We start from the raw sequence: 15,169 nt of genomic DNA, 5'->3' as shown, positions 1-15,169 counted from the left end.
GGAAGGCCGCAGGGACCTCTGCCTAGGAAAGCCAGGTATTGTCCAAGGTTTCTCCCCATGTGATAGTCTGAAATATGGCCTCGTGGGAAGGGAAAGACCTGACCGTCCCCCAGCCCGACACCCGTAAAGGGTCTGTGCTGAGGAGGATTAGTAAAAGAGGAAGGAATGCCTCTTGCAGTTGAGACAAGAGGAAGGCATCTGTCTCCTGCCCGTCCCTGGGCAATGGAATGTCTTGGTATAAAACCCGATTGTACGTTCCATCTACTGAGATAGGGAAAAACCGCCTTAGGGCTGGAGGTAGGACCTGCGGGCAGCAATACTGCTTTGTAAAGCATTGAGATGTTTATGTGTATGCATATCTAAAAGCACAGCACTTAATCCTTTACATTGTCTATGATGCAAAGACCTTTGTTCACGTGTTTGTCTGCTGACCCTCTCCCCACAATTGTCTTGTGACCCTGACATATCCCCCTCTCGGAGAAACACCCACGAATGATGAATAAATACTAAGGGAACTCAGAGGCTGGCGAGATCCTCCATATGCTGAACGCTGGTTCCCCGGGTCCCCTTATTTCTTTCTCTATACTTTGTGTCTTTTTCTTTCCTAAGTCTCTCGTTCCACCTTACGAGAAACACCCACAGGTGTGGAGGGGCAACCCACCCCTTCAAAAGAGGACATACTATATGATTATATGGAATACAAAAATTGAGAACTTTTTAATGTAGTTAGAAGTCAGGATACGGCCAGGCACCGTGGCTCACGCCTGTAATCCCAGCACTTTGGGAGGCCGAGGCGGGCGGATCACGAGGTTAGGAGATCGATGAAAACCCGTCTCTACTAAAAATACAAAAAAATTAGCTGGGCGTGGTGGCGGGCGCCTGTAGGCCCAGCTGCTGGGGAGGCTGAGGCAGGAGAATGGCGTGAACCCGGGAGGTGGAGCTTGCGGTGAGCTGAGATTGCGCCACTGCACTCCAGCCTGGGCGACAGAGCGAGACTCCGTCTCAAAAAAAAAAAAAAAAATACTGAAAATACAAAAAATTAGCCGGGCGTGGTGGCGGGCGCCTGTAATCCCAGCACTTTGGGAGGCTGAGGCGGGCGGATCATGATGTCAGGAGATCGAGACCATCCGGGCTAACACGGTGAAACCCTGTCTCTACTAAAAATACAAAAACAAAATTAGCGGGGCATGGTGGCGGGCGCCTGTAGTCCCCGCTACTCAGGTGGCTGAGGCAGGAGAATGGCGTGAACCCAGGAGGCGGAGCTTGCAGTGAGCCGAGATCGCGCCACTGCACTCCAACCTGGGCAACAGAGAGAGACTCCGTCTCTAAAAAAAAAAAAAAGATACTGGTGGGGGTGAGGGGGGTAGGGGTACATGGCAGGAGGGATAGTGATGGTAAGAGCAATGGGAGGTTTCTGTAGATGCTAGTAATGTTTTGTTGCTTGATTTGCGTGCTGATTACTCTGATGTATTCAGTTTGTGAAAATTCATTGAGTTGTACATTTGTATACTTTACGTTTATTATAGTTCAATTAAAAGTTTTTTTAACTTAGGAGAATAAAAACTGAGTTTATATTGATACTTCCAATTCAAATTTAATACCACATTATTTTTAACTTTAATTTTATTCTCGCGTCTTTTGCTTTTCCCCTGAACATCTTGTTGGATTTTAACAATGAACTAATGTATGTGCTGTGATCTATAAACAGTATAAAATACTTACAACAGAATACGAGCATTACTACCAAACATGAATGCTGAATGAAGTTGAAGATTTCTTGGCATCACTCTCCGTCCTTCAAATATCATTCACTACGAATGTAGAGGGAAAATGCTTAGTTCTAACCAACCTGATTTCCAGCTAGATTCATTCGTTTCTATTTATTTTCAGTGTTCAAGGACTGCCATTTTTATTTCTGATTCAATTTTACTTTTAAAGACTATAACATTTTCATGATTTTAAAGTTAAAAACATAAAATGTGTTCAGAGAAATTTTGCATCAGTTTGTGTTCCATACAATCTGTTCCATCAATTCCCTCTTAAAAAAAACCATTTTATTACTCTTTGGTATAACTTTCCAGTGGTTCTTTTTGAGAAGGGTTTAAGTGCTCTGATGATTGCTGCGTAACAAGCCACCCAAAACTTCGTGCCATAAGACAAGCATGTTATGCTCATAGGTTCTGTGGGTCAAAAATCCAGAGAGAATACAGCAGGGATGTTTTTTCTTTGCTTCATGATGTCTGGAGTCTCAGCTGGGGTTATTTGAATGACTAGTCCAGGTAGGGCTAGAATATCCACTTCCAGGCTTCTTCTCTCTCATGCTTGAATTTTGGACTTGGAGGACTTGAATACCAATCTTAGCTAGAACTGGCAGCAGGAACACCTACATGGTCACAGATTTTTCACAGAATGTTTATTCCAAGATGAACATCCCAAGAGTGAACATTCTAAGAGAACCAGGTGGAAGCTGGCCTTTTCTGACCTAGCTTTGGAAGTATTACAGCATCACTTCTGCATTTTAATGGTTACTAGTGAGACTTAAATCCAGCCCAAATTCAAAGGAAGGGGAATTTGAGTTTACCTCTTGATGGAAAAGTGCTAAGAACATACTGTAGAAGACCATGTGGGATGGGAAATATTATTGTATCCATCTTTGAAAAATACAGTCTGCCACATTTTGCCTCCTGGCCACCATTCACATCCTGCCCCATGAAAATACACTCATGCACTTCCCTCAGGCTTCCAAAGTCTCATCCTATTACAGTATCAATTTGAAGTCTAGGACCTTATCTAAATCAAACCCAGCTAGATAAAGAAAATGTGTGTGTGTGTGTGTGTGTATATATATATACACACACATACACCATATATATATACACATACACCATATATATATATACACACACACACATACATACATACATACATACATACATACACCATGGAATACTACACAGCTATAAAAAAGAACAAAATCATATCCTTTGCAGCAACAAGGATGGAGCTGGAGGCCATTATTCTAAGCAAGTTAACACAGGAACAGAAAACCAAAACCAGCATGTTCTCACTTATAAGTGGGAGCTAAACACAGAGTACACATGGACACAAGGCAGGGAACAATAGATACCAGGGACTACTTGAAGACAGAGGGTGGGAGGATGAGAATCAAAAAACTACCTCTTGGGTAGTACCCTTATTACCTGGGTGATGAATAATCTGCACCAAACCCCTACAACACACAATTTACCCATGTAACACACCTGCACATGTACCCCCTGCACCTAAAATTAAATTTGGAAAGAAAAAAAATCAAGTCCAGGTGTGGATAAGCCTCCTTCAGTGCAGTTCCTGGGATACACTCCTTGAGTATGAGCCCTCTCAGTCCACAATATTGGGAACTAACTTCAATCTACAGTTTCTTGACACACCCACATCCAGTGGTGGAACAGCCATAGAATAATAAGCATTCAGATTCAGAAAGTTGGTGGGTAAAACAGTTGAAGGAAATTGCTAATCGTAACAATTCTGAAATCTGGCTGGGCACACATAACCAGCTCCTTGATCAGCGTTCCCTGGAAATGATTTTCTATGGCTCTTGTCCTGCCATCTGATCTTTTGGTTGCACTTTCTGAGTCACGCTGGGGTTTTCTTTTTTTTCTTCATAAAAAGTAGCCCATGTTTACAACTGAGTACTATTCTCATACTTTTTTCTTGTAGATATTTGGGAACCCAAAGATCCTTTCTCACTTTGTACCGTTTCTGCCCCTGTAAGCTCAAGCTTGTAGTGCATCAAGTAGTACAATTCTCTTGAAAATTCTGTGTATACTGTGAATTTTATTAGGGTTCATTAAATGAAACAAAAGACACACCACAGGCTCTTCTCTTTATTGTGCTCCCTAAGAGGCCACTGTGGAAAAATGACAGATACTTTTTTTTTTTTTTTTTTGAGACAGAGTCTCTCTCTGTTGCCCAGGCTGGAGTGCAGTGGTGCAATCTCGGCTCACTGCAAGCTCCGCCTCCCAGGTTCACACCATTCTCCTGTCTCAGCCTCCTGAGTAGCTGGGACTACAGGTGCCCGCCACCACGCCCAGCTAATTTTTTTGTATTTTTAATAGAGACGGGGTTTCACCATGTTGGCCAGGATGGTCTCGATCTCCTGACCTCGTGATCCGCCCGCCTCAGCCTCCCAAAGTGCTGGGATTACAGGCGTGAGCCACCATGCCTGGCCCAAAAATGACAGATTCTTAGAGGCCCTGCTGTTTCACAGAAAGAATAAACATTGGCTTCATCTTTTCCCTGAGGCTACATTTTCATGACTGCACTATAGATGTGTTTTTCCCCCAACTCAGGCCCTTTATAACTTTGAGAACGCTCCCAATTGCTGAGAGAGATGTATAAAAGTTCTCAACTATAATGAGTTCTGATAGCTTTTTGTTTATGTATTTTGAAACTCTGATATATGAGGCATAGCATTTAGGATTATTATGTTTTCTTGGTGAACTGATCTTTTTATAATTTTCGTTATTTTTTTTGAGGGCTCACTGCAACCTCTGCACCCTGTGTTCAAGCAATCTCCTGCCTCAGCCTCCCGAGTAGCTGGGATTATGGGCGTATGCTACCACGCCTGGCTAATTTTTGTATTTTTAGTAGAGACAAGGTTTTGCCATGTTGGCCAGGCTGGTCTCAAACTCCTGACCTCAAGTGATCCGCCCACCTCAGTCTCCCAAAGTGCTAGGATTACAGGCGTGAGCCACTGCACCAGGTCTTTTTTAAATAATTTTGTATAATTTCATAATCTCTGCTCTGATTTTCTCTGAAACTGGCATTTTCTGATATTAGTAATGCCACTCAGCTTTCTTTTGGTTAGTATTTACATGGTGTATCTTTTTTCCTATTCTCTTTTAACTTATCAATATCATTATATTTGAAATTAATTTATTTTAATTTTTAATTTTTTTTTTTTTTTAGAGACAGGGCCTCAGTCTGTGGCGCAGGCTGGAATTCAGTGGCATGATCCTAGCTCACTGCAGCCTTGAGCTCTAATGGTAGCTCAAGCAGTCCTTCCGTCTCAGCCTGCTGCATAGCCAGGACTACACACATGTGCCACCACATCCAGCTAATTATTTTATTTTTTGTAGAGATGGAGTCTTGCTATGTTGCCCAGGCTGGTCTTGAACAACTCCCGTCTTGGCCTTTCAAAGTGCTGGGAGTACAGGTGTGAGCTGCTGTCCTTGGCCAAGATCTTTTAAAATTGGGTCTATTTGGAGATCTCTGAGCCTCCTGAATCTGCAAGTTCAAATCTCTCTTGCTAGACTTGGGATGTTTTCATCTATTATTTCATTAAATAGGTTTTCCAGCCCTTTTGTTTTCTCTTCACCTCCTGGAACATCTAAAATTCTAATATTTGTTCTCCTATATTGGTGTCCCAATATGTCATGTAGGTTTTCTTCATTTTCAAAAATTCTTTTTTTTTTTTTTTTTTTGTCTGACAGGGTTATTTCAAAAGACTTGTCTTCAAGTTCTGAGATTCTTTCTTCTGCTTGATGTAGTGTATTGTTGAAGCTTTTGAATGTATTTTATATTTTATTCAGTGAATTCTTCAGCTCCAGAATTTGTTTTTTTAAATGATATCTGTTTGAAAATGTCTCATTAATATCCTGAATTGGTTTTTTTCTGATTCCTTTGTTTTGTTTTTCATTATTATCTTGTGTCTCACTGAGCTTCTTTAAAATCAGTATTTTTGGTTGGGTAGAGTGGCTCACACCGGTAATCTCAGCACTTTGGGAGGCTGACGGGAGAGAATCACTTGAGCCCAGGAATTCAAGACCAGCCTGGGGAACATAAGGAGAACCTCATCTCTAATTAAAAAAAAAAAAAAAAAGTGGAATATGGTGATGTGTGCCTATAGTCGCAGCCCTTCTGGAGGCTGAGGTGGGAGGACCGCTTGAGGCTGGGGTGGGAGGATCACTCAAGGCTGGGAGGTCGAAGCTGCACTGAGCCATGATCACACCACTGCATTCCAGCCTGGGTGACAGAATGAGACCCTATCTCAAAATAAATAAATAAAAGTAAGATAAATATTTTGAATTATTTTTTCAGATTTTATAAATTTCTTTTTGATTGGGATCTTTGCTGGAGAATTAATGTGTTCCTTTGGTTATGTCATATTTCCTTGCTTTTTCATGTTTCTTGTGTTCTTACATTGAGATCTTCACATCTGGTGTAATAGTTGCTTCTTCCAATGTTTTGAATTTGCTTTCATAGGGGAGGAATTTTTCTTGAAGATGTATCTGTGGTGTTGGTTGGATAGGCACCTTGTCTTTGATTCTAGGTGCATGAAGTAGTGTAGTCTCTGTATGATTGCTTCAACTGCAAACGGTGTCAGTGGTTTCTGTGATTTCCTCAGTGGCTCAGGGTGCTGTTGTCAGTGTAGGCTGTGGTGAAGTTTTACTTGGGACTGGGTTGCCAGCCACATGGACCAGTCTCCAGGCCCCATTGTTGGCAGCAGTGGGCTGAGCATGCCTGTCTTTTGGTCCCACGGTAGCATATGCTGGCACTGGTGTTAGAGGGGTCCAGGCAGATTGGTTCTTTTTTTATTCAGACAAGATCTCACTCTGACTCAAGCTGGGGTATAGTGGTGCAATCATGGCTCACTGCAGCCTCAACCTCCCAGGCTCAAATAGTCCTCTCACCTCAGCCTCCTGAATAGCCATCACTACAGGCGTGAGCCATCACACCCAGCTAATTAAAAATTATTTTTGTACAGATGGGGTCTTGCCATGTTGCCTATGCTGGTCTTGAACTCCCGGGCTCAAGTGCTCCTCTCACCTCTATCAGGGAACCTGCCCCGATATTCACGTAGGTTCTTTTCTATTTTCCTTAAGTATCAGCCAGCTTGAGAAATAAAGGGACAAAGTACAAAAGAGAGAAATTTTAAAGCTGGGCATCCGGGGGAGACATCACATGTCGGTAGGTTCCATGATGCCCCACAAGCCACAAAACCCAGCAAGTTTTTATTAGGGAGTTTCAAAAGGGGAGGGAGTGTGCGAACAGGTGTGGGTCACAGACATCAAGTACTTTACAAGGTAATAGAATATCACAAGGCAAGTGGAGGCAGGGCAAGATCACAGGACCACAGGACCGAGGTGAAATTAAAATTGCTAATGAAGTTTCAGGCACCACTGTCATTGATAACATCTTATCAGGAGACAGGGTTTTGAGATCAGCTGGTCTGACCAGAAATTATTAGGTGGGAATTTCCTCTTCCTTATAAGCCTGGGAGCACTATGGGAGACTGGAGTCTATTTCACCTCTGCAGTCTCAACCATAAGAGATGACCACGCCCGGGGGGCCAGGTCAGAGACCCACCCCCAGGTGTGCATTCTCTTTCTCAGGGATGTTCCATGCTGAGAAAAATAATTCAGCGATATTTCTCCCATTTGCTTTTGAAAGAAGAGAAATATGGCTCTGTTTTGCCCGGCTCACTGGTGGTCACAGTTTAAGGTTATCCCTCTTATTCCCTGAACAATTGCTGTTATCCTATTGTTTTTTCAAGGTGCCCACATTTCATATTGCTCAAACACACATGCTGTACAATTTGTGCAGTTAATGCAATTATTACAGGGTTCTGAGGCGATATACATCCTCCTCAGCTGACAGGATTAAGAGATTAAAGTAAAGACAGGCATAGGAAATCACAAGGGTATTGACTGGGGAAGTGATAAGTGTCCATGAAATCTTTACAATTTATGTTTAGAGACTGCAGTAAAGACAGGCATAAGAAATTATAAAAGTATTAATTTGGGGAACTAATAAATGTCCATGAAATCTTCACAATCCACGTTCTTCTGCCATGGCTTCAGCCGGTCCCTCCGTTTGGGGTCCCTGACTTCCCACAACAACCTTGGTCTTCCAAAGTGTTGGGATTACAGGCATGAGCCACTGTGGCCAATTCTTGGGCCTTCAGGTGGCTTGCTTGAGTGCCAGGAGTGGCAGCAATGGGCTGGGTGGTTAGGTGGGTCCCTAACCCCCTGTGCAGCTGAATTGTGTGGCCTATGCCAGTAGCAGTGGTGGGACAACCTTCTGGAACCTATGCAGTCCATGCTGGTGTTGGCAGTGGCTACAATGGGCTGGGCAGACAAGTCCCCAGGTCTGCAGGTGGTGTGTGCAGGTGGCTGCCAGCTGTGGTGGTAGTGGCAGGTTGTGTAGGCCTGACCTCAGACCCTGGGAGGAGTGCTCAGGTGCCAACGGTTGTGGACTGGGCTGGGCGATCCCCAGACCCCTGGATGGCACTCTCAGGCCAGGGACTGTCCTTGAGCCATCTGGTGGTGCTTGCAGGTGCTGACTGTGGTAGGCAGGGATGGGGTTATCCCCAGGCCACCAATGGAAAGCACGGAGGGGCAGGGGGAGTAGCAGCTGTGCTACAACCATGCTATTGGGGACATCACAGTTGCTTTCAAATGGTAGCAGCCATAGGGAGCTGGGGGAAATGTGTTTTGCTCACCTCTTGGTCCTGCAGAAGCCTACAGTGGTGGCCAATGCAGGCAGTGGATTTGTCCTTAGTGCTCCTGAAAATGTGCAGCCACCACTCTGCTTGTGGGAAGTGGGGTCACTGCCAGTGGCTCCTGCCTCATCCCTGCTGGGATAGCTATGGGTGGCAAATGTGATGGGGTTCCAGGGATGTGGAGATGCAGGGCCTGTTGGGCCCCAGGGCAGGATGCATTCTGGTGGGGATTGGGCTATCAAAATGGTGCCATGCAGCAGCTGCTTAGGACTCAAGGGTTTGTGGGACCCAAAATGCACTCCCTCTCTGGAGCAATGCCCTTGTGCAGTCTTCAGGCAGCTACCTGTGTTAGTCTCAGGGCTCATGAGGGTAGAGGGGGTCTCCCTTGGCGAAGATTAGCCATTGATGGGAATGTGGACCACTGGGGGTCTCTCACTTAACCGTTTCCCTGCATTAGGGAGCCTCTCCAGGCTCCCAGACTCTCCTGGCCAAGCAGGCTGCCTCTCCTTCTTTCAACTTTTCCCATCACTTCTCTGTGGCATTCCAGTGTTCTCCCTCAGATGATCTATTCAAAGTGTGATTATCTATATGCTAATTTGGTTCCTTTCTGTGGAAGAGGCTAGTACTAGATGGATCTAGTCAGCCACCTTGAAGCCCTTCAAAAATAGATTACTCTGGCTGGGCGTGGTGGCTCACGCCTGGAATCCCAGCACTTTGGGAGGCCAAGGCTGGAGGATCACCTGAGGTCAGGAGTTTGAGACCAGCCTGGCCAACGTAGCGAAACCCTGTCTCTACAAAAAATACAAAAATTAGCCAGGCTTGGTGACGGGTTCCAGTAATCCCAGCTACTCAGGAGGCTGAGGCGGGAGAATCGCTTGAATCCGGGAGGCAGAGGTTGCAGTGAGTACACTCCAGCCTGGGAGACAGAGTCTTGCTCTGTCTCAGAAAAAAAAAAAAAAAAAAAAAAAAAAAAAAAAAAAAAGATTAATCTGGGCTGGGTGTGGTGGCTCATGCCTGTAATCCCAGCACTTTGGGAAGCCGAGGCAGGTGGATCACCTGAGGTCACAAGTTCGAGACCAGCCTGGCCAACATGGTGAAACCCTGACTGGGCTGGGTGTGGTGGCACAGGCCTGGAGTCCCAGCTACTCGGGAGGCTGAGGCAGGAGAATCACTTGAACCCGGGAGGTGGAGGTTTCAGTGAGCCAAGATTGCACCACCGCACTCCAGCCTGGGAAACAGAGCAAGACTCTGTCTCAAAAAACAAACAAAAAAAAAAGTAGATTACTCTGGTTTCTAAATTTTTCAAGAGTTGATTCTGTAAGTTTTTATTTGTTTATTCATTGCTTTTGTGAAGGGATGAGTTGTTGGTTTCCTCCTCTGCCATTTTCTTATTTATAGTGTTTTTGGGTGGATCACTTGTATCAATTTTTTTAGCAGTAGCTGTAGCCAAGTTTATCTGACTTGCGGCCTGTGGGCCTCATGCAGCCCAGCAAGGCTTTGAATGCGGCCCAAGACAAATTTGTGAACTTTCTTAAAACATTATGAGATTGTTTTATGATTTTTTTTTTTTTAGCTCATCAGCTATCGTTATTGTTAGTGTATTTTATGTGTGGCCCAAGACAGTTCTTCCAATGTGGCCCAGGGATGCCAAAAGATTGCACACTTTTGCTAGGCATTACGTTATATATACATAACTTACAAAGTCTACTGGTTTGACATTTTTCCAGTTTGAATTAGGTGTAGAAACCTTCCCTTCCCTTACCCATCCCAAATTATAATCAAGTTAAATATTTCTTTTATATACATTGGAAACCACCTAAGAGTGATACAATTTTTGCTTCAGTTGTCAAACATAATTGAGGAAACTCAAGATAAGGAAATTACCCGTAATTTTGCTGTGTTTCTTCTACCTTCCTAATTTTCCAAGATTCCTTGTTTAATATTTAATTTCTGTTCTCAGATTTTCTTTAGCCTTTCTTTTTTCTTTTTCTTCTTCTTCTTCTTCTTTTTTTTTTTTTTTAATACAGAGTCTCTGTCTATCACCCAGGCTGGAGTGCAGTGGCACGATCTCGGCTCAGTGCAACCTCTGCCTCTGGGGTTCAAGCGATTCTCCTGCCTCCGCCTCCTGAGTAGCTGAGACTACAGGTGTGTACCACCATGCCCAGCTAATTTTTGTATTTTTAGTAGAGACGGGGATTTCGCCATGTTGGCCAGGCTGGTCTCGAACCCCTGACCACAAGTGATTGGCCTGCCTCAGCCTGCCAAAGTGCTAGGATTACAGGCATGAGCCAACCCACGCCCAGCTAGCCTTTCCTTTATGGTAGGTCTGCTGGCAACAAATTCTCCTAGCTTTGTTTCACCTGAGAATGTTCTTGATTTCTCCTTCTTTCCTGAACAATATTTTCATTAGGTATGAAAGTCCACGTTCTCCATTTAGTTGGCATTGACACCATACAGGAGGGGCTCATTATTGCCTGATGAAAATGAAAGACCCTGGTTTCACACTGGGCTTTTTCTGAGACTACTTGGTCAGGAAGTTTGGACACCTTGTTACAGCCTATAAAGGTAAAAGTCTAGACTCTCCACTTGGCCTTTGGTGTTAAGAGTGGTGGTGGGGCCACAGATTTTTCTGTGGCATTTGGCTGAAGTAAGGGGTTATTTAAAAGTTTCCTGTCTTGGCTGGACGTGGTGGCTCATTCCTGTAATTTCAGCACTTTGGGAGGCCAAGGTGGGCAGATCAATGGAGGCCAGGAGTTGAAGACCAGCCTGGCCAACATGGCAAAACCTCATCTCTGCTAAAAATACAAAAATTAGCCGGGCATGGTGGTGCACGCCTGTAATCCCAGCTATTCGGTAGGCTGAGGCAGGAGAATTGCTTGAGTTCAGGAGACAGAGGTTGCAGTGAGCCAAGATTACATGACTGCACTCCAGCCTGGGCAACAGAGGGAGACTCATCTCAAAAAATAAATAAAATAAAATAAAATAATAGTGTCCTGTCTTGCTAGACTCCCTTTCCTGTTTCTTTAGCTATACAGAGTAGGCTTTTCTTTAGAATTTTTTTTTCCATCTCTGAATATTGGCATTTTAGGGTTGCCAGCTTCTTTAGCTCCAAGTCTGGGATATAAATAAAGTCCATGGAACTTCACGACTATGTCATTTCTTGGGTCCTGTGGTCCCTAGCCAGTCTGCTCTCTTCTCTCCACCTTTCAGAGTCATCTTGTGTTTGTTTTATATATAACGTTCAGAGTTTTCAGTTGTACTTAGTGGGAGGAACAGGGAAAAGGACATCTCTTCCATTTTCCCAGAAATGGAAGTCCCTCTATTAAAGATTTTATTTCCACAAGGACATTTAAGTAATTTTTGTAATCTCTAGTTGATTTTGTTATAGAGATTTGCTATTTCCCATCATATCATTTTGAGGATGCTATTCCTACTTACTCTTAATATTCGTACTTAAACAAAACTCCCGTTTCATTTATTCTACTACTGCCTTTATAGTATTTCCCATTGGATCAGCATTGTTTCTCTATTATATGGGAGTCAGCTTTTTTGGAAATGTTTGGTAATTCTGATATGTGTTTAGTTTCACAGTGGAGAGTACTTTGGATGTAGTCTGCTTCAGTGCAGGAATAGGATGTGCTGCTCTGATGTGCACTCTGACTTGTTTTTAGAGACAGAGGAGTGGCAGGTTTTTTGTGCTGCAGCATGCCTGGCCTGCTAGCCCCAGGCATAGGGATGCTCCTATTTCCCCTAGGACAATACCAGTCAGTGGCCTCACCTCCTCCTCCTGGAAGCAGGGACTAGGGCTTGCTAACTGGGTTAAGGGAAGGTGATGTGCCAGGTTAAATCACTTTACTTCCCCAAGCAACCAATCTCACTATTGGTTGTGAGGACAATCTCACTGTCCCCACTTTTGCTTCTTGTGACAAACCCTAGGCCCAGGCCACCCTTATTATGTCACATTCACCTTTCAAAGTAGTGCACACTCTTGTGTTTTGTTTTCTGGTTCCCTTAGATGATCTAATACCAGTGCTTCCTCTATTTCAGGTATTCTCCATTGTTCCTAATTCACCAAAAGTTGTTTATATTTTCGGGAGCTGTTTATATGTGTGTGTGTATATGCATGTGTATATAATAGTCCCAATACCATTTATAAAAATTTAGGGCTGGCTGCAGTGGCTCACACTTGTAATCCCAGCACTTTGGGAGGCCAAGGCGGGTAGATCACGAGTTCAGGAGTTCGAGACCAGCCTGGCCAACATGGTGAAACCCCGTCTCTACTAAAAATACAAAAATTAGCCGGGTGTGGTGGCAGGCACCTGTAATCCCAGCTACTCAGGAAGATGAGGCAGGAGAATCGCTTGAAACCAGAAGGCAGAGGTTGCAGTGAGCCAAGATCGCACCACTGCACTCTGGCCTGGGTGAAAGAGCAAAATGCTGTCTCAAAAAAAAAAAAAAAATTAAATGAAAACATTATTAAAATGCCTTTGCCCTGACAGTTGTTTTCAGGAAATTCTTGTGAACATTAAATTCAAATAAGTCTTTGTGTCTGGTTTGTGTATGTGCATGTGTATATATACATACACCATATCCCATCAAATATAAAATGCTTTGATACTGGCACAAGGCTTATCTTACTAAAAATATCAATGAACGTTTTCACAAGACATTGTATTAGTCCATTTTCACACTGCTATAAAGAGCTACTTGAGATTGAGTAATTATAAAGGAAAGAGGTTTAATTGACTCACAGTTCCACATTGCTGGGGAGGCCTCAGGAAACTTATAGTCATAGCACATGGTGAAGGGGAAGCAAGGCATGTCTTACATGGTGGTAGGAGAGAGAGAGGGGGGTGGAGAACTGCCAAACACTTTTAAACCATCAGATCTCATGAGAACATACTATCATGAGAACAGCATGGTGGAACCACCCCCATGATCCAGTCACCTCCCACAGGGTCCCTCCCCCAACATGTGGGAATTATAATTTGAGATGAGATTTGGGTGGGGCTTTTTAGCATTGATGAAATCAGGAGGTATCAGTGATAGTAAGGCTAATATATATATATGTGTATATATATATATATGATAATGAATCTAGATGATAATAGGACTGTAGCAATTCTTTTTCCATAATTTAAGCTGCATATGTATAGAACCAGAATATTCCAGTGCCTGCACATTTCAGATATATTTACTGAAAAATTGTATCATTTTGCTGACATTTTATTTAGCATTTTGATTTTTCTCTTTAATTAGGACTCATTTAAATTTTGGTTTTTAGTAACTATTCTCTCTAGTTTTATCATTTGGATTATGTCAGCCATGTATCATGAGCTGGGAAAATTCTGGTAACAATTATCCTTGAAGTTTTTATTAAACTAAAACAGATTGTGCTAGCAGACTGTGTTGTTCTAGCTTGTTCTATAGCTTAAGCTGAATTTACGTTTTCCATTTACTAGTTCACTCAAGCATGATTATGTTGTGTAAATTTCAATGAAGTACATTTTCTAGAAAAGACTTCATTAGCTCTGGAATTTTATATACATTGAAATGATACTACTTTCTTATAATTTGACATCCTAAAAGTAATGGTAATACATATACCCAAAGTACTAAAATCACACCCTAAAAATTAACAATTCCATAGAATCTTATAATATCCATTCCATGTTGAAATTTCCATAATTGTTCCAGGAATATATTTCATAGATATTTAACAAGGATTTACTCTCAGGATCATACATTGTAACATTTTGGTGGTTCTGTCACTTTTTTTTTTGAGACGGACTCTCGCTATGTCGCCCAGGCTGGAGTGCAGTGGCGTGATCTCGGCTCACTGCAACCTCCGCCTCCTGGGTTCAAGCAATTCTCCTGCCTCAGCCTCCCGAGTAGCTGGGATGACATCGATATCTCTGGTAATGTCCTTTTTAAATTCGTGACACTTATAACTGTGTCATCGTTTTTTTCTTTTTACTGGATTTGGAAAAATTGAATAAGTCTATAATCTGCTTATTACTTAATTTCTAATTTTAATTGCATTAACTAGTTCCTTCTTTTAGCATCTGCTTTATTTGGTACCTTTTTTTGTTTCTTGAGTTAAATACTTATTTTTTCCCGAGTTTTATCAAGTGCCTACTATGCAAAAGGCGTCACAGTCGTGTTGAGGATACAGAGAACAAAATGTTCTATCCCCAAATCGTGGTTTTCTGTATGCATTAAGGGATGTTAATTTACCACTGAGTAGAGTCTTGGCCACATCCTACAGATTTCAATATGTAGGCATTTCAATATCACTGCTTTCTGTTAAATCAATATTTAACTTTTGATTTCCAGTTTAATCCATGACTTGTATTATACATGTAGATGATTGTAAATTTGTAAGAGGAGGTGCAAATTATCACCAAATTACTTACTAATTGCAAAGAAAATAACATACCTTTACAATGGAGAGATCTGGCAGTCACTACCTTAACCAAATGTAGCATCACTAATAAAAGGACAACCTGCCATTATATGCCTCCTGTGTGTACAGACTGTATTATACCTATGAAGTATTCTTGCTAAAAATGTTTGACCAGAAGCAAATCAAGCTGCTGTTTAAGTTTCAGTTTGGAGACAGAGGAAAAAGAGGAACAACATTATGCAGAAATAAAATACGACAAA

The sequence above is a fragment of the Homo sapiens genome, chromosome 19 (genome assembly GCF_000001405.40).
Source record: "Homo sapiens chromosome 19, GRCh38.p14 Primary Assembly".
NCBI lineage: Eukaryota > Metazoa > Chordata > Mammalia > Primates > Hominidae > Homo > Homo sapiens.
This window is presented reverse-complemented; position numbering follows the sequence as displayed.